At 43.3% G+C, this 24,865-nt stretch overlaps 1 protein-coding gene and 1 pseudogene across 2 annotated transcripts in view, besides 2 other annotated features; both read left to right on the plus strand.

Moving 5' to 3' along the window:
• Positions 1-24,865, plus strand: part of KIAA2012 — a 131,934-nt gene that overhangs the window by 85,544 nt on the left and 21,525 nt on the right. For both annotated transcript variants that reach the window (NM_001277372.4, NM_001367720.2), the window contains exon 15: positions 6,486-6,558. In NM_001277372.4, coding sequence (NP_001264301.2) covers positions 6,486-6,558 — 73 coding nt within the window. The remainder of the gene's footprint in view (positions 1-6,485; positions 6,559-24,865) is intronic.
• Positions 12,102-12,920: an enhancer, noted in NCBI's record as "NANOG-H3K4me1 hESC enhancer chr2:203035623-203036441 (GRCh37/hg19 assembly coordinates)". NCBI's record gives its function as "activates a minimal SCP1, AML or CMV promoter by ChIP-STARR-seq in naive H9 embryonic stem cells {active_cell/tissue: H9 hESC(naive)}" and the evidence as "EXISTENCE:reporter gene assay evidence [ECO:0000049][PMID:30033119]".
• Positions 14,173-14,382: an enhancer, noted in NCBI's record as "active region_16998". NCBI's record gives its function as "activates an Ori minimal core promoter by ATAC-STARR-seq in GM12878 lymphoblastoid cells {active_cell/tissue: GM12878}" and the evidence as "EXISTENCE:reporter gene assay evidence [ECO:0000049][PMID:35858748]".
• PSMA2P3 (proteasome subunit alpha 2 pseudogene 3) lies at positions 20,546-21,188 on the plus strand (annotated as a pseudogene).

A 24,865-nucleotide genomic window follows, 5' to 3' on the forward strand; every position in this document is an offset into this window, starting at 1 on the left:
TTAAATTATCAGGGTTAGGTCATGGTAGTAGGGAAGAAAATAGCAATAATGCCTATTAATGCTAGATATCAAATTGAATATCCTTATACTCCACATTGATATCAAAGGATGTGTATGTTATGCCCAGAACATCTGAAGAATGAGAAATAAGCTTCCACCTCGCAGTTCCCACACAGTTAGCATATAGTGCCCTCAAATGCAAGGTAGAGGAATTGGCCTGAACACGGACAACAGCCAGCCATGCCTGGAGTTAGAGCTGCCCCACCTGTTTTGAGACCAGTCCCAAGCATTACGTATGTGGGCAGGTGTACATGCATCCCACGAAGCAGAAGGGGGCTGCCCCGAAACCTGTGGATTTCACATACAACAGGAAAATAATGCTTGGCTTAGGACATCATCCAAAGATGGAGCAGGGTGCCTTAGGAGATAAGTTCTTGTCTCCACAATCATTTAAACGTGCCTTGATGACCACTTGGCAGGAAAGTTGTAGAGGGATCACGAGCTGGTCTCAAGATTTAATGGTGCCAGGACACTTGAATAATATTCCCAGGAAAAAATATGTATGAGTGTGTTCTATTTCCAAAAAAAAAAAAAACAGAATTAAGTATAATATTATCAATATTAAAGTGTCAGACTAGTAGTTGGGAAGCCCTGGGTGGGGCAAGGGGTACTTCTCTGACACTCTGATACTAAGTGACCTTGTGATGCTTCTGAGACTCCATTTTCTCTTTAATAAAACAGAAATAATAATACTGGGACCTGACAGGGCATGGTGGCTCCCACCTGTAATCCCAGCACTTTGGGAGGCCAAGGCAGGTGGATCACCACCTCAGGTAGTTCGAGACCAGCCTGGCCAACATGGTGAAACCCCGTCTCTACTAAAAATATAAAAAATTAGCCGGGCATGGTAGCATGTGCCTGTAGTCCCAGCTACTCAGGGGGCTGAGACAGGAGAATCTCTTGAACCCGGGAGGCGGAGGTTGCAGTGAGCTGAGATCGCACAACTGCACTCCAGCCTGGGCAACAAGAGCAAAAGTCTGTCTCAAAAAAATAATAATAATACTGGGAACTCCATACCTGCCTCTCAACAGTGAAGCAAGAATTACATGAACTAATAGTTTTGAAAGAATGTTCACATCTGTAAAGGACTCAATTCATAAGGGAGAAAGGAACATTCACTGATCCCTGCTAAGGGCCAGGCCCCTCACATATTGAGCCTTGTATAATCTTCCTGTCACCCTTCCCAGTAATTGTGCTGATCCCCACTGTGCAGATGAGGAAACCGAGGCTCAGAGATGACCAGTCACATGGCTGGCAGCAGAGGGAGCTAGGATTCAAAGCCAAAAATCCCCACAATATCAGAGATCTATGAGGTCTGTCTGTTCTGTTCCTGTGTACCTAGTTGTACTTCTTTGTTCTAGCTGCAGAACCCAAGAAGGGAGCAGAGATTTGATATTATATATTAATCTTTTTTATCTTAATAACACAAGATACTTTATGATTTTTCATAAGGTCTTTTTTTTTTTTTTTTTTGAGATGGAGTCTCGCTCTGTCACCCAGGCTAGAGTTCAGTGGCGTGATCTCGGCTCACTGCAAGCTCCACCTCCCGGGTTCACGCCATTCTCCTGCCTCAGCCTCCCAAGTAGCTGGGACTACAGGCGCCCGCCACCATGCCCAGCTGATTTTTTATATTTTTAGTACAGACGGGGTTTTACCATGTTAGCCAGCATGGTCTCGATCTCCTGACCTCGTGATCCGCCCACCTTGGCCTCCCAAAGTGCTGGGATTACAGGCGTGAGCCACCACGCCCGGCCAAAATCATAGTCTTTAACAAAGACAATGTAGGGGACTTTTCTGTTACACAGGAAAAGTTATACTACCTTGAAGTTGAAACTTTTGAATGAGATCCTGATTTTCTTCCATCATTTAGAAAGTATTGAAATTAGTCATTTATATTCATGTATCATATGGTATGTTACATGGAATTTCCAAATGTCTCTTCCTGGTTAAGCCTTTTGAGAACTCTACAATTATTTATTATTACTCCCATTTCACAGGTGTAGAAGCTGAGGTTCTATGATAGGTCATGCAGCTGGCTCAAGACAGGCTGGAGGCCGCACTTCAGACTCCTGCAGCACATGCTCCTCCATCCTCCCAGCAGCTCCCTAAGAAAGCCTGCTGTGGTCCTAAAAGTAACATGCCCAGCAGGGGGGCTGTGCATGAGAGTGGAGGGCAGGATGGCTGGAAGGTTTTCCAAGGAAAAGATAACCTAAGATCACTTGTCCAGCATCTGTCGGTTTCCAGTTGAAGAAACTGAGGCTCAGGGGTTAAGTAACTCCTATGGTCTGTAAGACATCAAGTGTAGTAGTTAGGACTTGAGTGCAGACAGCCTGACTGCAGGACCTGTACTTCAGCCACCGGAGAAAGCGCCTCTCACATGTTGGTTTCAATGCTGTAGTTTGTGTTCACAAAGTGTTTGTGACTCTTCCTCCTCCTCTCCCAGTCTTATAATACCACACTGCTGCCAGTGCTCTAAATACAGCTCAGTCTTATCAGTGGTTTGCTTGAAATTCTTTACTGTGTCCCCATTGGCCCTCTGGTTAAATTCCAAGCATCAAAGATGTATTTATTTTACAAATAGAAAAATATAACATGTGCAATTTTTCTTAAACTCCGAACTGTAACATGCAAGATCTGGCCTGTGTCTAATTTACACTGTCCACACACTGCCCCCGCACCAAACTATCCCCTAACCAGCACATGCTGCTTCCTCTGCTTGGAATTGTTCTACCTTCCCTTCACTGCAAGATTTAGCACTGTGTCTGCTGGTAAACAACCTTCCCAGCCTAATTTAGCTTCACCTCCCATGAGGCCCTGCAGAAACCTGTCATAATCTGCCACAACATTTATCACGCTGCATTGCAAACTGACTTGTCATTTCCCCACAAGCCAGTGAGCATCCTACGAATACATCTTTCATCTTTGTGCCCCCGGTGCCTATCTCGGTACCTGGCACACAGCAGACACTCAATAAATGTTCATTAGCTGAATGAACAGAGGAAGAGCAAACAACCTGGCCAAAATAACAGAACTGGGATTTGAATTTACAGTCCCTCCATTTGTTTTGCTCACTCACCAAGTATTATTACCTGTTTCCATCACTCTGTTTTAATCATGCATTTGTAACTCAGACTAAAAGTGACATCACATTTTATTTAGGTTTAGTTTCTTTAATTCAAATTTTGAATCTGAAATATATTCAGAAGGTTTTTTTTTTCAAATTTAAGTAGAAAACAGTATGCCTTCCAGCTGCTCAGCTCCCTTCCCTTGAACAACTGGAGTTGCTAGTTTCCTGTGTCCCCTTCCTAGAATGTATAATGCATATATATAAGCAAATACAGATAGATACATACACAGATAGATATTATATGCAAATCTTAGCATATTATACACATTGTTCAGAGTCTTTTTGTTTGTTTGCTTGTTTGTTTTTTTAGATGGAGTCTCACTCTGTCATCCAGGCTGGAGTGCAGTGTTGCGATCTCGGCTCACTGCAACCTCCGCCTGCTGGGTTCAAGCGATTCTCCTGCCTCAGCCTCCCGAGTAGCTGGGACTACAGGCACGCACCACCACACCTGGCTAATTTTTGTATTTTTAGTAGAGACAGGATTTCACCATGTTAGCCAGGCTGGTCTCGAACTCCTGACCTCAGGTGATCCACCCACCTGGGCCTCCTAAAGTGCTGGGATTATAGGTGTGAGCCACCACACTTGGCCCAGAGTCTTTTTTTTTTTTTTTTTTTTACTTACTACATCTTGCAGTTCTACGTTAATTCATAAAGAGATGCTTGTAGGCCAGGCGCAGTGGCTCACGCCTGTAATCCCAGCACTCTGGGATGCCAAGGCGGGTGGATCACCGGTCAAGAGATCGAGACAATCCTGGCCAACATGGTGAAACCCCATCTCTACCAAAAATACAAAAATTAGCTGGGCGTGGTGGCGGGCGCCTATAGTCCCAGCTACTTGGGAGGCTGAGGCAGGAGAATCACTTGAACCCGGGAGGCGGAGGTTGCAGTGAGCTGAGATCGCACCACTGCACTCCAGCCTGGCAACAGAGCGAGACTCCGTCTCAAAAAAAAAAAAAAAAAAAGAGATGCTTGTGCTTTTTAATGGTTGCATCATATTCCATTGTATAAGCTAATAATAATTTATTTAACTAGTCCTCAATTGATGGGACATTTAGGCTGTTTCCAATCTGTTGCAGTGAATGAATGACTTTAAATAGAAGTTATTTCACATGTATATTCTTTTTTTTTTTTTTTTCAAGATGAAGTCTTGCTCTGTTTCCCAGGCTGGAGTGCGGTGGTGCGATCTCAGCTAACTGCAACCTCCACCTCCTGGGTTCAATCAGTTCTCCTGCCTCAGCCTCCTGAGTAGCTGGGATTGCAGGTGCATGCCACCACGCCTGGCTAATTTTTGTATTTTTAGTAGATACAGGTTTTGATCATGTTGGCCAGGCTGGTCTCGAGCTCCTGACCTCATGATCTGCCCACCTCAGCCTCCCAAAGTGCTGGGATTACAGGCGTGAGCCACCACACCTGGCCACATATGTATTCTTATATCTAAAAAAAGATAGTTCTTTTGACACTCTTCTAAGCAACATACAATTGAATTGACAGAGTTTCAAATTAAGACTATTTCTTTTTCTAACAAAGATTCACCTGAAAATATTTTTCCAAATCCCTGAGTTTCTCTATCTCCCTCTCCCACTCTGTGAAATGAGAAGATATTCCTTGCCCCTGAAGGCTCATGGCTGTGTGTTGTTGAGACTGAAGTTTGATCCTTCTTGGCATTAAAATTCTTCCAAAAGAAGAAGCTTGACTCTCCCTTTCAATACAGTTTCTTGTTAGATTAAAAGGCTTTATAACCAGGGATATCTAGTCTTCTAACTTAGCCTGTTACTCCTTTCCATTTATTCAGGGAATTTTTTTTTTTTTTTTTTTTTTTTTTTCCTGTACCAGGCCAAATTGACTTTGTCTCCAAAATAAGAAACCCAAAAGTAAGAAAATTATTTACCTGTGTTAGCCTTTTTATGTCAGTATATATCATCAGCTACAAACACTAAGCTAACAAGTGAGAAACAAACACACAAGGTAAAAAGCCACCAAGTGAGGGAAGTCAGAGGGGAATTAAAGAGAGTGCCAAAATAGCAGATAATTAGTTGTCTCTTCTCAAAGCAGGATGCAGCTTTGATAACAAAGTGGAAAGGTGACTGTCACTACAGAATGAGGGTAAACCCGGAGAGACTTCCAGGACCCTTCATGCCAGATTCCAGCTCTAGCACCGAGATGAAGCTGTGGGTTGAGCAGGGATCCAGGTGACAAAGGCCCAGATCTGGCCTCATCAGACACACGGGGCTTACTTGGGTCACCAACTCTACCTGCCATGTTACTTTGGCACTGAGGAGCTGCTCTTGCAACACTCTAGAGAAGAGCATGATTCTCAGTCCTGGCTGCATATCAGACTCACCCTAGAAGCCTTAAAATGCCCCAACTCCAGCTGTATGACTGTTATTATTTGGAGTTAGGACCTGGGAATCATTTTCTGAAACTTCTCAAATAATTCTAATGTGTAGCCAGGGTTGGTAACCATAGTTATGGAGATTTCTGGGAGGAGGGATTGCAAGCAGCTTGTATGACTCAAGGAAAGAAGGAAGAAGGGATCAAATGTGATAAGAAACCAAATCCGTGGTAATCCTGAGGATGCCACAAAAGGCCTGTCTGACCCTTTGGCTCCCCTGCTTTAAATCCTGAATGCTTTCCATTTGTTCTCAAGATAAAGACCAAAGTCCTCAACCTGCCTTCAAGGCCATGGGGGTTTGACTCCTCCCAGCCCTGCGCAGTTCTCTCAGTCTCTGCTGTAGTCACACTAGTCCTCCCTCAAGTCCTGGAGGTGCCCTGCTTCCTTCTGCTAGTTGGCCTCTGTCATGACATTCTTCTCGCCTTCCTCCAGTAAACTCCTACATGCCTTAGGCATTCAGAACTGCACAGATGAATGGGATAAGACCCCATGAAAATAAGTACAACCAGAAAGCTAACAGTGCTTGATGCTGCTGGTGCCAAGCCTGCCTGGCCCTGGCTTTTTCTTTTTTTTTTTAAGAGACAGAGTCCAGGGTCTTGCTATGTTGCCCAGGCTGGACTCAAACTCCTGGGAACTCCTGTTTTAAGCAATTTTCCCATCTCAGCCTCCCAAATAGCTGAGACTACAGGTGCATATTATTATGCCTAGCCCTGCCTGGCTCTTTAAGCCTGTTTAACACTAGTAGCAGCCTTCCTGGAGACTTAAGTAAAAAGTTGACGAAGAAGGAGAAGAAACCACTAAGAAAACTGGCTTCCCTCTTACCAAAGGTCATGGGATCACAGAAGTGTTTTAAGTGTTTGCATTTATTATGTCTAATGTATTCTTTGTTGTGTGTTAACCCAATAGGAAAGTGGAAATGCACTGGACTATCAGGAAGAAGCAGGGAGACCCCTCAGAGAAACTCACCACAACGACCAAGGTACAGACCACTAGGTGGGGCTTTATAATCTTATAGCCATAACTGTCAGATGAACTTTGCACTGTTAAAAGATGTTAATGGGAGGCCAGGCACGGTGGCTCACGCCTGTAGTCCCAGCACTTTGTGAGGCCAAGGCGGGTGGATCACCTGAGGCCAGGAGTTTGAGGCCAGCTTGACCAACATGGTGAAACCCCATCTGTACTAAAAATACAAAATTAGCTGGGCGCAGTGGTGCATGCCTGTAATCCCAGCTACTCGGGAGGCTGAGGCAGGAGAATCACTTGAACCCAGGAGGCAGAGGTTGCGGTGAGCTGAGATCGCACCACTGCACTCCAGCCTGGGCAACAACAGCGAAACTCCATCTCAAAAAAAAAGAAAAATGCCTAAAGTCACAGATTTTGGATTTCACCCTTAACTTGATCTTTTTCTGTTTATATCTTTTACCATGTCCTTCAGTTGACATCCAATCAAAAGTAATTAATTTTTATACTAATTTTACAAGAGCTTGTTGTTTGGGGGATACCAGACAACAATATATCATGGTAGCCTGATCCTGGGTTTGGTTAAGCTTCTAAGCAGATTTCTGTTCACATGAGCTCTTACCACCTCCATTTTCAAGGCAGAGTGACACTAGACAGGGAAACATGCTCCAGTCTTCAGGTCTGCCATATCATAAATCACACATGCAGAATGTGAACACTGACAGGGCTCCAAGGGCTTGGCCAAGTGTGATGGAGGTTTTAGGCAGCACAGAACATGGCCAAACCTAAGCAATGACCAAGTCAGTCAAAACAGATTTCCTGTCTCATGACGGAAGAGCAGGCACCAGCTGGATTGCATAAAGGTTATTCAGACCATGTTTAATGCAATGAAATATCACCACAGAAAATTAAAGAAGGCATTTTCCTGTCCTGAATGATAAACACTAATGTTCAGAAAGGATTTCAAGTATTTGAAGAAAAAAGAAGAGGGAGTGCCAAGGAATTTTTTTTAACTATTTAAGGATCAATTTTCAGCCAGACACAGTGGCTCACGCCTGTAATCCCAACATTTTGGGAGGCCACAGCAGGAGGATCACTTGAGGTCAGGAGTCTGATACCAGACTAGGCAACACAACAAGATCCTGTCTCTACAAAAAATTTTAAAAATTGCTGGGCATGGTAGCACATGCCTGTAGTCCCATCACTCCAGAGGCTGAGGCAGGAGGATCATTGGAGCCCAGGAGTTTGAGGCTGCTGTGAGCTGTGCTATGATCATGCCACTGCACTCCAGCCTGGGCAACAGAACCAGACCCTGTCTCCAAAAAAAAACAAAAACAAAAAAAAAAAGGATCAATTTTCTCCCCATAGGTCTTAAGGCTAATTACCAGGATTTTTTTCCTACTCTAAATTAAGTTGTGATCTTCATGGTTAATTATAAGCAGTGAACCAGTTGCCACCTGCAGTGAGAATATCATGAGTCTTAGACTTGGTGAGAACACTTCAAGTTTCCACAAGACAGGTCAAATCAGCAACCTCCAAATCAAAGTGGCTTTGAAAAATTGCTCTGGCTTTAAATACAAAACTTTCCACTTTCAGAGGCTGAGGCGGGCAGATCACAAGGTCAGGAGATCGAGACCATCCTGGCTAACACGGTGAAACCCTGTCTCTACTAAAAAATACAAAAAATTAGCCAGGTGCGGTGGCGGGTGCCTGTTAGTCCCAGCTACTCAGGAGGCTGAGGCAGGAGAATGGCATGAACCCAGCAGGCGGAGCTTGCAGTGAGCCAAGATCGCACCACTGCACTCTAGCCTGGGCAACAGAGTGAGACTCCGTCTCAAAAAAAAAAAAAACTTTCCACTCCTCTACCCCTGTCCAAAGTCCAGGGAAAGAATAAAATTTCAATTCTTATTTCAATTCTTGTTTATTTCCTAGGCCAATGGTTCTCAAACTTCAATGTGCATCAGAATCACCTGTAAGGCTTATTAAACTAAAGATTTCTAGGCCCCGCCCTCAGAGTTTCTGATTCATTAGATCTGGGCTGAGGCCTGACGATTTGCATTTTTAGTAAGTTCTCAGGTGATTCTGATGCTGGTGGACCAGCAACCACAGTTTTGAATCGCTGCCCTGGGCCTTGTTTCCAGTATGTATTTCCCTGAATTTGGCAGCAACTCAATTTAACCTGTTCTTTTAAAAACAGTAGGAAGGAATACTGGACACAGTCACTCATGGTTCCAACCCCAGCACTTTGGGAGGCAGGAGGATCACTTCAGACCAGAAGTTGTTGGAGACCAACCTGGGCAATATAGCAAGACCCCTCCCCATGCCCTGCATCTCGGCCTCTAAAAATTTTTTTTTAATTAGCCAGGCATGGTAGTGAGGACCTGCAGCCCTAGCTACTCAGGAGGCTGAGGCAGGAGGATCCCTAGAGCCCAGGAGTTCAAGGCTGCAGTGAGTTGAGACTGCACCACTGCACTCCAGCCTGGATGACAGAGCAAGACCCTGTCTCTAAGAAAATAAAATAATAATAATAATAATAGGTAGTGGGGAAGGAATTGGTTGGCAGGCACTGTTTAGGCAGCATCATTGTGATCAAGAGTACTGATTATGTAGTCTGATTCCCAGGGTTCAAGTTCTAGCACCACCACTTACTAGCTGTGTGACCTTGAGTAAGTTACTAAACTTCTCTGGGCATCTTTTTTCTTCCTCTGTAAAATGGGGATACTAACAGTACTTATCTCATGGGGTGGTTGTGACAAAGAAGAGTTAACTATGTAATGTGCTTAGAAAAGTACCCGTCATAGGGCCAGGCATGGTGGCTTACACCTGTAATCCCAGCACTTTGGGAGGCTGAGGCGGGTGGATCACAAGGTCAAGAGATCGAGACCGTCCTGGCCATCATGGTGAAACCCCATCTCTACTAAAAATACAAAAATTAGCCAGGTGTGGTGGCACGTGCCTGTAGTCCCAGCTACTCGGGAGGCTGAGGCAGGAGAATCACTTGAACCCGGGAGGCGGAGGTTGCAGTGAGCCGAGATTGTGCCACTGCATTCCAGCCTGACGACAGAGCAAGACTCTGTCTCAAAAAAAAAAAAAAAAAGAAAGAAAAAAAAAGAAAAGTACCCATCACAAAGTGCTCAAAAAGGGATATTCATCTACTCTTTAAAAATCTTTAATAGGAGCCACAATTTGCTCCTTGTCAGGAGAGCCTTATTCTAAGGTAATAACATAATGATTTCTTTACTTTCCCAGTCTGGGTGGCATAAGGGGTATTGGGGGTGCTTTTGGGGGATGCATGTAGTCCTCTGCTTAAGTCCAGGTATGGGCAGCAGACCCAAAATGAATGAAGCAGCCTTCCAGCCTCTGCATTCAGTGAAGTTACTGTGACATAACTCCTTGGGACATGACAGAACTGCTTTAAGAGTCTTAGGAGGAGTGAGAGATTTGGGGAACCCTGCATGAGGTGCAGGGGGTCCTTAAGGAGCAGCCTGGAACAATGTGGGGGTGGGGACGAAAGGCAGGTATTGTGGAAATTCTCAGAAACAAATAAGCCATTTCCATCATTTCTGTTCTGTCAAAAAAAGGAGGCCCAGAGCCCTATTGCCTTATTCAAGAGACAGATGTGTAGTAGATAGGATGTTGGTACAACTGTTCTAACAAAGGCCAAAGTAAAGTGACTTCAAACGAGATGGAAGGGTTATTCCTCTCTGATGGAAAAGTCTGAGCTGGCAGGCAGGGGGTCCCTGGGATCCATGAAGTCTAATTCAATTGCACAAATGCTTAATTGGGTGGCTACTAAGTACCACCTATAGCCCCATGTGTTATGTGAGCTGCTTGAAGGCAAGGATCATGCCTTATTCAGGCCTGGTAAATGTTTCCTAAATGAATGAATGAGTCAAATGTATGAATGAATGAATATGCTAAGTATTCAAAGGATTCAAAGATGACAAAACCAAGTTTCCTACCCTCAAGGCCTCACAGTGAAGACTTCAACTGCAGGCATGATGTTCACTGTGAGGAAACAGTGCCTCCCAGGGTTACTAAGGTCACAGCCCTCTAACTAGGGTGCAGTCAAGGAACCTACAGCCACCAGCCAGAACCTGCACCTTCACCATAGACCCAGAAGCAGCCAACAGGCAACAGGTAACTAATGCTGATGGGGAAGGAGGACACTGGCTCTGTCAGCTTCTCAGTGAGTGTCCCAGCAGCCAATGCCCTCATTAACCTGATAAGGCTGGTCTAATTCGTGGCTAGTGTACCAAGTCGTTTCATCATAGTGCAGTCTAGACCAGAGATTTTTGTAAGAACCACCTATCTAGACCCATTCTAGCTAGCACCTGGGAGCTTATTAGAAAAGAGAATCTGGGGTCTCACCCCAGACCTGCCTGTTAACAAGGTCCTCAAGTGATTCGTATGCCCACTGATGTCTGGGAAACACTGAAATCTATTCATCGAGGAAACTGGGTTTCAGATTCAAAAGACATGGATTCCTTTACCAGCTGTGCCTTTGATTAAGTCTGTAGTTTAGGGAAGGGCGGATTGCTTCTCTGGGCCTTGGTCTCCTTTCCCATAAACCAAGGAGGTCGGGATGGATCATCTCTAGGGCCCCATCCCATTCTCATGCTCTGGCCGTCTATGAGTCGCTCAGGCTTGCACAGTGGTAGGCTGTAGATCCAGGACTGGGGCGGGGCCTCCTTCCCAAGCTCATCCCCCACCCCCACTTCCGGGGAAGGCTGGTCTGCCACCTTCACTGTGTCCTACATAAATCTCTTCTACCACCCAGCCTCCCTCAGGTGACAGCCTGGGAGGAGGCCATCCCTGTGCCATTTGTGAGCCCTGGCTCAGTGCAGCAACAAGTGAGTGAGAGCTCAATGGGTCAAGATGGGAGCACTGCTTTGCCACGGTTCTCTGGCATGGCATGAGGACTCCATAAACCTCTGGGCCTCTGGAGGCTTCCACTTCCTGATCTGAAAATAACAAAATTGACCTTCCAATCTCTGTTTCTCACTTTCTGTGATTCAATGACATTGGAACTGTTTCTGTTAAGGGGAAAAGCAGAATCCACGGTGCTACCACTGAGATAGCTCCATGGTTCAGCCTCCAGGTTCAGGCCGTCTTAAGTCTTTAACCACCGACTGCATGAATGGAAGCTTCCATTATTCACTCAGCATACACTTGCTGATCCCTACTAAGTTTCATAGCCTTCATGGTTGGATAAAACACACTCCTTACTGCAGCTCCCGCTTTGGTGGAGGAAACAGATATGTGTGCAGACAGCTCCAGTGAGTGGAGTGTGATCAGTGCTCTAAGAGAATACAGGAAGGACAACTGATCCAGACCGGGGCAGAAATCTGATCCAGATAGAGAGAAATCAGGTAGGGCTTCCTGTAGGAGGTAATGGCTGACATGAAGGAAGGCATTTACGAACCTAGACTGCGTTCACCCATTTGTGATGAAGACATCAAGAGAAGGCAGCAGTTCACACTCCCTGTGTGCCAGGCACCAGGCTATGCATTTTCTGTAAAGTGCCTCATTTAACTTTTATACTAATCCTGTAAAGAAGCAGGCCTTGGTATCCCTATTTGTCAGATGAGACAATTGAGGCACAGAGTGGTTAAGTACCACATCCTTGCTCGCAGAGCTGGGCAACAGTGAGGCTGACCTCCCCAGGCTGTCTGCATAGATTAATGCTGGATGTTAACAGCTATCAAAAAGAGGGTTCGCCCCCCACGGGAGAAAACAGCAAGGTCCGGGGAAATAGAGATTTAAAGAAATACTACACACACACACACACACACACACACACAGACATATACACACACACATTCATACATAGACACACACACAGACACATATACACAGACACACATGCACACACACACACACACACCCCAACTAGAGAAATATGAATGAAAAGATTCTTCAAGCAGTTTTTTTAAAGGGAATAAAAAGGTGTGGCCAATCGGGGAGGGAGGCCAAAGTGGTCCAGCAGTGCGGCATCTGCGCCTCCGCGGCGGCAGGGGCCCCGCAGCAGGCGCGCTGGGAGCAGCTTCTCTCGGGGCCTGCCGCGTTTATGGCTTCAATAGCGCCGCTCCGGGTCCCCGCGGCGTCGGAGAGGCTTCTGCCTAGCGCCTCTCTGCTGCGCGAGGTCGTCCCGGCCTTACAAAAGGAGCTCCTCGCTGGTGAGCTCAAGACCCCAGGCGGGCTCTCCCCGAAGGGTCACTTCTCCGAGTGTGTCGCCTCCTTTAGTCTTTTCTTTTCCTCTCTGTGGTGGCTTGTGATGTCTCTAACGCTGGGGCCTCCTATGGACTCCATCCCGAGATGGAGACTGGCAGAGCTAGAAGGTCTAAACATCTGAAAAGCAGGCACGCATAGTCCCTGGGGAGAAGGCAGGGAGGCAGGCAAACCCCTGGAGTGCCACCCAAACAATTGGACTTTTTAATTGATACTGTTTTATTTTGGCCAATTTTCCACTTAGGGGTGGAGAAAAGGGAAGTAATTTTTGGCATTTACTTTTTTTTTTTTTTTTTTTGGAGACAGAGTCTTACTCTGTTGCCCAGGCTTGAGTGCAGTGGCGTGATGGCTCACTGCAACCTCCGCCTCCCAGGTTCAAGCAAGTCAGCCGCCTCAACCTCTCGAGTAGCTGGGATTGCAGGCGCCTGCCACCACGCCCTGCTAATTTTTGTATTTTTAGTAGAGACGGGTTTTCGCCAGGCTGTTTGCGGGCTTACGCCCGCGTCGGCCTCCCAAACTGTTGGGATTACAGGCGTGAGCCACCGCGCCTGGCCATTTTTGGCATTTACTATGAAGCAAGACGTAATGCTAGGTGCTTTATGTACTTTGAGCTTATTTTATCCTCACTATAACCTTATGAGGCAAAGTGCATTGTTTCTATTCCACAGATGAGGAAAATGAGGCTCAAAGAGGTTAGGTAACTTGCCCAAGGGGCACACAGCCAGTAAGTGGAGAAGCTGAGAGATGAACCCAGGTTTCTATGACTCCATGCTCCTTGAATCTTTGAGTTGTGATGCCATCCCTGTGTTTCTGAGAGGAAATAGTAAAAAGTCAGGGAAACATCACGAAATTATGGCAGTATGTTTTTTAAGCCAGCATGAATCTTGGAGGTGATCTAGAAGTTCTTTTATATTATGGATGAAGAAACCTGAGGCCTACAAGTCAAGAGAATCGTGCATGACAACTAATTATTAAAACCAGGGTAACTGGAGTCTGCCCAGTGTTAGTGGTTATCTAGTTCAGTTCAGTTCCGTTCAGGTCAGTTTCGTTTTGAAGACTTTTCCTTGGGCAGTTTCCAGCTTCAGGAATAAACAGCTCCAGAAGGAGCAAGTGTAATGATTGCCTGACCTGTGCAAAGAAGTGAGGAGTAGCCAGTGCTGGAAAAGTTCCTCCTAACACTGTGGAGAAAACAGGGAGACCAGAAGTGTGTGCCCAGGAGTCCTGGTGGTGCCACTCACCAGAATCTACAGCCTGGAAGATGGCACCATGCAAAGGTCTGGGGCTCCTTGCTCCCCACATTGCCCAGTATGATGCCTGCACAGTCATGGCACAGCACACTGCCAGGCCCTGCTATCTGCAGCCTGCAGTACTAGGTGCAAAATATTCTGCTAGTCCTTAGCACCTACATGACCTAACTCTGGTACTGCTCTATTTTTCCTCTGGGAAGTATTTCAAAGTTCTCCTTCATATTGGAAGAGGAGGAAGTAGGAAGTGGTGCACGCTTAAGAATGTTTCTGGTTTACTCCTACACAGCCCAGACTGGGGAAGTCCCCCGGGAAGTCCCCCAGAGTCCCAGAGAACAGCAGTCGTCCCTTGATTCTGAAAATTCTCTTCACCTTCCAGGAAGAAAAGCTCATTTCTAACAAGAGACCTAAATTTGTCAAAACCCAAAAGCAGCTAAAACTAGAGATAAGGACAACATAAGAAAGGAAAATTATAGGCCGGGCCTGGTCACTCACGCCGGTAATCCCAGCACTATGGGAGGCCAAGGCGAGCGGATCACCTGAGGCTGGGACTTCGAGACCAGCCTGACCAACATGGAGAAACCCCGTCTCTACTAAAAATACAAAATTAGCTGGGCGTGGTGGCACGTGCCTGTAATCCCAGCTACTCAGGAGGCTGAGGCAGGAGAATCGCTTGAACCCGGGAGGCAGAGGTTGCAGTGAGCCAAGATAGCACCATTGCACTCCAGCCCGGGCAACAAGAACGAAACTCCATCTCAAAAAATAAAATAAAAAAAGGAAAATTATAGACCAATCTCACTTATGATCAAACATACAAAACTCCTAAATAAACTATTAACCAATCAAATTCTTAAGCTTATATTTTTAAAAGTATTAACAATACACACAACTGAATTTGGTTTATCACAAGAATTCAAAGAGGGTCTAACATATGAAAATATATTTATAATCCACACTAAGAGGTTAGTGGGGAAAAGCCTTAGGGTCATCTCAATAGATGCAAAAGGAAAAAAATAAAATTCACCCATTCCCAATTAAAACTTATCAGACTAAGAATAGAAGAGGGCTTCTTGATTTTGACAAAGAGTATCCATGAAAAACCTATAGTAAACATCACACTTGAATACTTGAATGGTAGAACTTGAGAAGCATTCTTTTTTTTTCTTTTTTGAGACACAGTTTTGCTCTTGTCGCCCAGACTGGAGTGCAACGGCACGATCTCGGCTCACTGCAACCTCTGCCTCCCAGGTTCAAGCAATTCTTCTGCCTCAGCCTCCCAAGTAGCTGGGATTACAGTTGCTCACCACCGCACCTGGCTAATTTTTTGTATTTAGTAGAGATGGAGCTTCACCATGTTAGTCAGGCTGGTCTCGAACTCCTGACCCCAGGTGATCCACCCTCCTGGGCCTCCCAAAGTGCTGGGATTACAGGCATGCGGCACTGCGCCTGGCCAAGAAGCATTCTCTTTAGAGACAGGACTAGGACAAGGATGTCCTCTATCAGTGATTCTATTCAACATTGTACTAGCAATGCTAGCCAGAACGGTAAAGAAACCAAAAAAAGGAAAGATGAAAGGATAGGAAGGAGGAAAATGACACTGGTATTATTTCCAGACTATATTATTACTTATATGGAAAATTCAAGGGACTCTACAGACAAGACATTAAAAGACAAAAGAATTCAGCAAGATTACTAAATACAGATCAATACACAGAAATCAATTGTGTAAAAAATAGTGTTTGAAAACATAAAGCACAATTTAAAAATAGAATTTAAAAGGAATTGTTATTATGGAAAACTGCAAACATACACAGAAGTGAACAGAGCAGCACAGTGAATCCCATATACCCATCTCTTGGCCAGTGTTGTTCACCTGTATCTCCAACTCCTTTCTCTCTCCCATGTTATTTTGAAACAAATTTTAGGCTCATATCATTTTATTCATATATACTTGAGAACATATCTCTCAAAGATGAGAAATGACTTTTTTTATTATTATTATACTTTAAGTTTTAGGGTACATGTGCACAATGTGCAGGTTAGTTACATATGTATACATGTGCCATGCTGGTGCGCTGCACCGAGAAATGACTTTTAACATAATCATGATACCATTATTACACCCAAAATTTAAATAATTCTTTAATATAATTGAATATTCAGTCAGTTTTCAAAGTTCAAATTGTCCCATAATTATTATAATTGTTTTGGAATTTGCAAACCAACTGTTTACAATTGGTTGATATGACCTTTAAATCTCATTGAATTTATAAGTTCCCTTCCATTTCTTTTTTTTCCCCCTTTTAGTGTATTTGTAGGAAATTGGGTCACTTGTCTTGTTGAGTTTCAATCTAGACTTTGCTGATTGCGTCCTCATAGTGTAGTTTAACATGTTTCTCTGTCTTCCACATGTCCTGTAAGTTAACACTTGGGTCTAGAAACTTGATCAGATTCCGGTTTGGTTTGGTTTTTCCTTTTGGCAGTCTATAAATTCAGTGCAATTTCAATTTTAAAAATCCCCAACAGGGTTTTTGGCAGAACATGATTAGCTGATATTAAAATTCATATAGAAAAGCCAGAAATAGTTGTCATGGTCTGAATGTTTGTGTCCCCCAAAAATTCACATGCTGAAACCTCATCACCAATGTAAAGGTATTTGGAGGTTGGGCCTCTGGGAGGTGATTAAGTCATGAGGGCAGAGCCCTCATAAATGAGATTAGTGCCTTTACAAAAGAGGCCCCAGAGAGCTATCTTGCCCCTTTTATCATGTGAGGACACAAAAGAAGGTGCCCTCCATGAACCAGAAAGTGAGACTTCCCCAGACACTGAATGTCCCCAGACACTGAATGTTCCAGCACCTTGATCTTGAACTTTCCAGCCTCTAGACCCACAAGAAATAAATTTCTGTTGTTTCTAAGCTACCCAGTTTATGGTATTTTGTTATAGCAGCCTGAACAGACTAAGATATTAGCCAGTATAATTTTGAAAAAAAATAAAGTGGAAGTTTGCCCTGACAAATATAAAAACTTATTTTAAAGCTGTAAAAAATAAAACTGTGTGCTATTGGCTTAGAGACAGACAGAAGAGAATAGAGAATCCAGAAATAAATGTGCCCACATATGGAAACTTGATATATGGCAATGGCATTATAAAGGGAAATAGTGGAGAAAGGATGATCTATTATTCACTATATAATTTTGAGACAACTGGTTATGCAATTTTAAAATTCTCACCTCACAAAATATCAGGTGTATTCAGGAGCTTAATGTCAAAAAGCAAAATTTAACTTTTAGAGGAAAATATAGCAGAATATTTTTATGAATTTTGGAAAGGAAAAAACTTTTTACCTATTATTCATAACACAAACCATAAAGAAAATTATTGATAAATCTTTTTTTTTTTTTTGGGACGGAGTCTCGCTCTATTGCCCAGAAAGTGCAATGGCATGATCTTGGCTCACTGCAACCTCTGTCCCCTGGGTTCAAGCGATTCTGCTGCCTCAGCCTTCCAAGTAGCTGGGATTACAGGTGTGTGCCACCAGGCCCGGCTAATTTTTGTATTTTTAGTAGAGACAGGGTTTCACCATGTTGGCCAGGCTGGTCTCAAATTCCTGAACTCAAGTGATCAGCCTGCCTTGGCCTCCCAAAGTGCTGGGATTACAGGTGTGAGCCACTGTGCCCCGCCAATGAATCTGACTATATTAAAGTTTGAAGTTTTCAACAAGACAACATGAAGTTAAAAGCCAAATTGCAGATTAGAAGGAGATACCTGCAATGCATGTAACCAACAAAGCATTAGTAACCAAAATGCAGCAGCATTTCTTCCCTCTACAAATAGGGAAAGAAAAAGACAATCAACCCAAAGGAAAAATGAGCAAATGATGTGAACAGGCAACTAACAGAAGAAGAAACACAAATAAATGGCCATAGAGAAAAAAAAGTTCTCCTTACTAATCAGGAAAATCCCAGTTAAAACAAAAAGATATCATTTCATATATATCAGACCAGCAAAAGTTTAAAAGTCTATAAACACTATTAATGAGGATATAAAGTTTTAGTAATTTAGAGCAATTTGAAAATATTCAATAAATTGAAGATGCATATATCCTGCATCCCAACAAGTTCATTCCCAGGTATCCTTTAGAGAAAGCATGTATGAACAGTGACTCACCTAAAAAGGTTCATTGAAACATTATTAATAATCATAAACAATTGGAAATAATCAAAATGGCCACCAATAGTAAAATGGATTTTTAAATGGTCACATATTTATACAACGGAATACTATATGATAGCTGAAAATAAAATTACATGTATTAATATGGGTTAATCCCAAAAGACTTATTAAGGGTTTTTTGCCTTATTAAGCAAAATAAGGCAAGTTGAACAAGTTACATAAATAATATCATTTATGTAAAGTTTTAATTTGTAAAAAATACTATATATTGTTTACATGTGCATGTATATGTAATACAGATATAAAAATATATATGAGGATTGATGAATATCAAATTGAAGAGACTGATTACCTCTGGGAGGGAGAGGGAAATGGGATTATATGTGTCTTAATCCATTTTGTGATGCTATAACAGAATGCCTGAGATTGGGTAATTTATGAAGAACAGAACAGTCTCCCACAGTTCTGGAGGCTGAGAAGCCCAAGATCAAGATGCAGGTTTCTTACTGTGTCCTCACGTGGTGGGAGGCAAAAAGGCAAAAGAGAGGGAACTCATTCCCACAAGCCCTTTTTCTTTTTTTAGAGATGGGGTCTCTCTATGTTGCCCAGGCTCAACCTGAATTCCTGGACTCACACTATCCACAGCCTCAGTGTCCCGAGTAGCTGAGACTACAGGTGTGCATCACTGTGCCCAGCCCACAAACCCTTTTTATAGCAGCATTAATCCATTCATGAGGATGGAGCCCTCCATGACCTAAACACTTTTTATTAAGCCCCACCTCCCAACACTGCTGCATTGAATATTGATTGAGTTTCCAACACACAAATTTTGAAGGAGACGATAACATTCACACCATAGTAGCATGTGATAAATGAAGTCTTGGACTGTGTCTTAAATGTTTGATTTCTTTAGAAAATGCATGACTTAGGCTGGGCACAGTGGCTCATGCCTGTAATCCCAGCACTTTGGGAGGCCAAGGCAGGCAGATCACTTGAGTTCAGGAATTTGAGACCAGCCTGGCCAACATGGTGAAACCCTGTCTGTAGTAAAAATACAAAAATAAGCTGAGCATGGTGGCGTACACCTGTAATCCCAGCTACTTGGGAGGCTGAGGCAGGAGAATTGCTTGAACCTAGGAGGTGGAGGTTGCAGTGAGCTGAGATGGTGCCATTGCACTCCATCCTGGGCAACAGAGTGAGACTCTGTCTCAGAAAAAGAAAGAAAGAAAGAAAGAAATGCATGACTCAAATATGGCAAAATGTTAAAATTTTACAAAACTAAGTGGCAATGAGTATACAGTATTTTTCCTATACTGTGAACGCTTAAGATATTTTATAGACTTTTAAAAAGTACTTAAAAGTTGTAAGTTATTCAAAGCACTGACTTCGTTTGTTCCAATACTTCCTAAATATCAGGTTATTTTACTAAGAGAAAAAAAAAATCACCCTTCTATGGCCCACATCCCAAAACTGGGAAGGTTTCAATTCTAATCACAATGGAAGTTTCACCAATGTACAACCTCAGCTTTTGGTCAATACAAATACGCCCTCTGCTGGTTCTATCATGCCCTGTCCCAGAGTTCAAAATAGTTGAGAAGAGCAGTGAAAGTCTTCAGTGAGAGTTTTTTCGCGCCAGTCATGTTAAGGAAAGAAATACTCACAGAACTACCCTTTGGCACCAAGATACTTTAATCAGCTTCTGCTCTCTGTTAATGTTACATATTATCCAAGACAAAATAAATTCCAAGGTGCAGCCCCAGTCAACCTTTCCAATTCCTCAACCACCTTTGCGCGTTAACAATCTTGTGCCCCTCTAAAGTCTGGTGGTTGATTTGAGAGACAGTGGACACCTCCCTGAACCTGAGTAGAAGTAGAAGAAAACCAAAGTTGCAAAGAAGCTCCTGGGCGGGGAAACCACAAAATAACATTGAAAAACAGATTAACTGTAGTATTAAGGGAATGATGCCAATGGAATAATGGGTGAACTTTTTCTTTTCAAATCTTTCTTTAAAAGTATAACATCTTCAAATAAAACTGAGAAGAAATAAATTAATTCATGCAAGAATCTACTTCTCAAGAGAGAAAGGCACTAATTGAATATTAGAGTCTTCCTTTCAAAAACAGTTTTGTGTTTTGAGGTTGGTTTTGTTTTAATATTCATCTTCCCCACTGGAATGTAAGCTCCCTTAGACCAGCATCTGTGTCTATCTGATTCAAATTGGTACAAATTTTCTAGGGAACAATTTGGCAGTAGGCATTGTGACTTAAAAACTGTACATACTTGTGCTTTGGCTCTTCGGGTAAAGATGGCGGAGCGCGGTACGGCTTTTCGCTGACTACATTCAGCCCGTCTGATAAACTTGTCCGGATTGAATATGCTTTGGCTGCTGTAGCTGGAGGAGCCCTGTCAGTGGGAATTAAAGCGGCAAATGGTGTGGTATTAGCAACCGAGAAAAAACAGAAATTCATTCTGTATGATGAGCGAAGTGTAGACAAAGTGGAACCAATTACCAAGCACATAGGTTTGGTGTACAGTGGCGTGGGCCCAGATAACAAAGTGCTTGTGCACACAGCTCGAAACTAGCTCAACAATACTATCTTGTGTACCAAGTGCCCATTCCCACAGCTCAGCTAGTGCGGAGAGTAGCTTCTGTAATGCAAGAATATACTCAGTCAGGTGGTGTTTGTCCATTTGGAGTTTCTTTACTTGTTTGTGGTTGGAATGAGGGACAACCATATTTATTTCAGTCAGATCCATCTGGAGCTTACTTGGCCTGGAAAGCCACAGCAGTGGGAAAGAACTATGTGAATGGGGAAACTTCCCTTGAGAAAAGATAAAATGAAGATCTGGAACTTGAAGATGCCATTCATACAGCCATGTTAACCCTAAAGGAAAGCTTTGAAGGCCAAATGAGAGGATAACATAGAAGTTGGAATCTTCAACGAAGCTGGATTTAGGGGGCTTACTCCAACTGAAGTTAAGATTACTTGGCTGCCAGCCGGGTGGGCGCGGTGGCTCATGCCTGTAATCTCAGCACTTTGGGAGGCTAAGGTGGGAAGATCACCTGAGGTCGGGAGTTCAAGACCAGCCTGACCAACATGGAGAAACCCCATCTCTATTAAAAATACAAAATTAGCCGGGCATGGTGGTGCATGCCTATAATCCCAGCTATTCGGGAGGCTGAGGCAGGAGAATCACTTGAACCCGGGAGGCGGAGGTTGCGGAGAGCCGAGATCGCGACATTGCAGTCCAGCCTAGGCCAAAAGAGTGAAACTCCTCCAAAAAAAAAAAAAAAAAAAGAATTGCTTGGCTGCATAACAATGAAGTGACTGAAAAATCCAGAATTTCAGATAATCTATCTACTTAAACATGTTTAAAGTATGTTTTGTTTTGCAGACTTTTTCATATGTATTTCTACATGGCTTAAATCGACTGTTTTTAAAATGACACTTATAAATCCTGATAAACTGCTAAACCCACAAAAAATAGACTGTACATCCTTTAATCAGAAATATGAACAAAGAGTAAATTTTTTAATAATCAAAACATTCCTGACCAGATGCTGTGGTTCACACCTGTAATCCCAATACTTTGGGAGGCCAAGGCGGGTGGATCACTCGAGGCCAGGGTTTAAGACCAGCCTGGCCAACATAGCAAAACCCAGTCTCTACTAAAAATACAAAAAATTAGCTGGGCATGATGGTGCATGCGTGTAACCCCTGCTGCTCAGGAGGCTGAGGGATGAGAATCGGTTGAACCCAGGAGGTAGAGGTTGTAGTGAGCCGAGATCGCACCACTGCACTCCAGCCTGGGCGACAGAGCGAGACTGTCTCAGAAACAAAACAAAATAAAAATTCCTTTCAAGGATATTCTATGCAAAGTTCTTTATGGTTATAAAAAATAGAAGCGATATGAATTTTTAAAATTACATGTTTGGTTAAGTCACTTATGGTACATTCATACGATAACATACTGTGCTGCAATTAAAAATTTTTTTTGAGACAGGGTCCCACTCTGTCTTTCAGGCTGGAGTGCAGTGGTGCCATCACAGCTCACGGCAGCTTCGATCTCCCAAGCTCAAGCGATCCTCCCACCTCAGCCCCCTGAGTAGCTGGGATGACAGGCTTATGCCACCATGCCCAGCTGATTTTTCTATTTTTTGTAGAGACAGGATCTCACCATGCTGCCCAGGTTGGTCTCAAACTCCTGTGCTCAAGCGATCTGCCTGCCTCAGCCTCCCAAAGTCCTGGGATTATACACATAAGCTACCACATCTAGCCTAAAATCATTTTTAAGAACATTTAGGCCAGGCGTGGCAGCTTATGCCTGTCATGTCAACACTTTGGGAAGTTGAGGCAGGAGAATTGCTTGAGGCCAAGAGTTTGAGACCTGCCTGAGCAACATGACAAGACCCTGTCTCTACAAAAAGAAAAATTTTAAAACATTAGCTGGGTGTGGTGGTGTACACCTGTAGCCTCAGCTATTCAGGAGGCTGAGGTGGGAGGTCCCTTGAGCCCGGGAGTTCAAAGTTACAGTGAGCTGTGATCATGCCACTGCACTCCACCCTGAGCAACAGAGCGAGACCCTGTCTCTAAGAATAAAAAAAAAAATTAAGAATATTTAATTATATGGGAAAGTTGTAATATAAAAGTAGATTAAAATTGAATATACACTAATCAATTATATGGAAATATGATATTCATTAGATATACATGAAAGCAAATACACCAAAATATTTGCAGTAGTTGTATATGGGTAGAGTGAGAGAGCATGGTGAGATTTTTTTGGTTCTTGTTTGTTTTTACCGTGTGCTGGCACTGGTTTAGGCACTTTCCTTGTATTAACATATCTCTTGCTACTTTTTTAAAGCAGCTTTATCAAGGGATAATTGACATACAATAAATTAGACCTTTTCAAATTGTACAATTCCCATGAAACCGTCACCACAATCGAAATACAATATTCATCACTCCCAAAAGTTTCCTCATACCTCCCCTATTCCAGCCTCCTTCATCCCCAGACAACAACTGATGTGTTTTCTGTCACTATAGATTAGTTTGCATTTTCTAGAATTTTATATAAATGGAATCATGCCATATGTACTTTTTTTTCTTTATTCTTTTTTTTTTTTTTTTTTTTTTTGAAATGGAGTTTCACCCTTGTTGCCCAGGCTGAAGTGCAATGGCGCGATCTCAGTTCACTGCAACCTCCACCTCCCGGGTTCAAGCCATTCTGCCTCAGCCTCCCGAGTAGCTGGGATTACAGGCTTGCACCACCACGCCCAGCTAATTTTGTATTTTTACTAGAGATGGGGTTTCTCCGTGTTGGTCAGGCTGGTCTCGAACTCCCAACCTCAGATGATCTGCTTGCCTCAGCCCCCCAAAAGTGCTGAGATTACAGGCATGAGCCCCCACACCCAGCCAGCCATATGTACTTTTTCGTATGATTTCTTTCACTCAACATAATTATTTTGAGATTCATCCATATTGCCAGGTATATCAATAGTTCATTCCCTTTTACTGCTGAGTTGTATTGTATTGTATATATACACCAGTTTATCTGTTTATCTGTTGATGGACATTTGAGCTGTTTCAGTTTTGACCATTACAAATAAAACTGCTGTGAACATCTGTGTACAAGTCTTTGTATGGATTTATGCTTTCATTTCTTTCATTTATCTTGGGTAAAATACCTAGGGGTAGGATAGTTGGATGGTACGGCAGGTATATATTTAACTTTTTTAAAAACTGCCAAATTATTTTCCTTAGTGGTTGTACCATTTTACATTCCAAACAGCAGTAGATGAGAGTTCCAGTTCCTCCACATCCTTGTCAAATCTCAGTACAGTCAGTCTTTAATTTTAGTCATTCTAGTAGTTATGAGTTGACTGTGGGGGTTTTGTTTCTTCTTTATGATTTTTTTTGTGTTTTCCAATTTTTCTGCAATAAAATGTATCTTCCATAATCAAAAAATTATTTAAAGTAACTAAAACAAGATGTAGACTAGTCCAATATGAAGTCTTGGTCTGGAGACTCTTCATTCTAAAAGAGTAGCCCAACACAGTCTGCAGAGCACCCAGCAAAGAGCACTAACTGTGTGGCCTGTGTAACCCTTCCTCATATCCTCATAAGATAACATTTGTTTTTTTGGCCAGGCATGGTGCTTCATGCCTGTGATCCCAGCACTTTTGGAAGCTGAGGCGGGCGGATCGCTTGAGCCCAGAAGTTCGAGACCAGCCTAGGCAACATAGTGAGACTCCGTCTATACGAAAAATAGAAAAAATTAGCCGAGTATAGTGGTGCACACCTGTGGTACTGGCCACTTGCGAGACAGGTGGGGAGGATTGGTTGAGCCCAAGAAGCTGAGGTTGCAGTGAGCCGGGATTGTGCCACTGCACTCCAGCCGGGGCGACAGAGCAAGGCTCTGTCTCAAAAAAAAAAAAAAGTTAACATTTGTTTTTTGGGGGGTTTTTGGGGGGTTTTTTAAATTTTTTTTTTTTTTTTTTTTGAGACAGTCTCACTGGAGTGCAGTGGTGCTCCACTGGTGTGCAGTGGTGCTCATTGGAGTGCAGTGGTGCTATCTAAACTTACTGCAACCTCCACCTCCCAGGTTCAAGCTATTCTCTTGCCTCAGCCTCCCGAGTAGCAGGGATCACAGGCATGCACCACCACCAC

The sequence above is a fragment of the Homo sapiens genome, chromosome 2 (assembly GCF_000001405.40).
Source record: "Homo sapiens chromosome 2, GRCh38.p14 Primary Assembly".
Classification (NCBI taxonomy): Eukaryota; Metazoa; Chordata; class Mammalia; order Primates; family Hominidae; genus Homo; species Homo sapiens.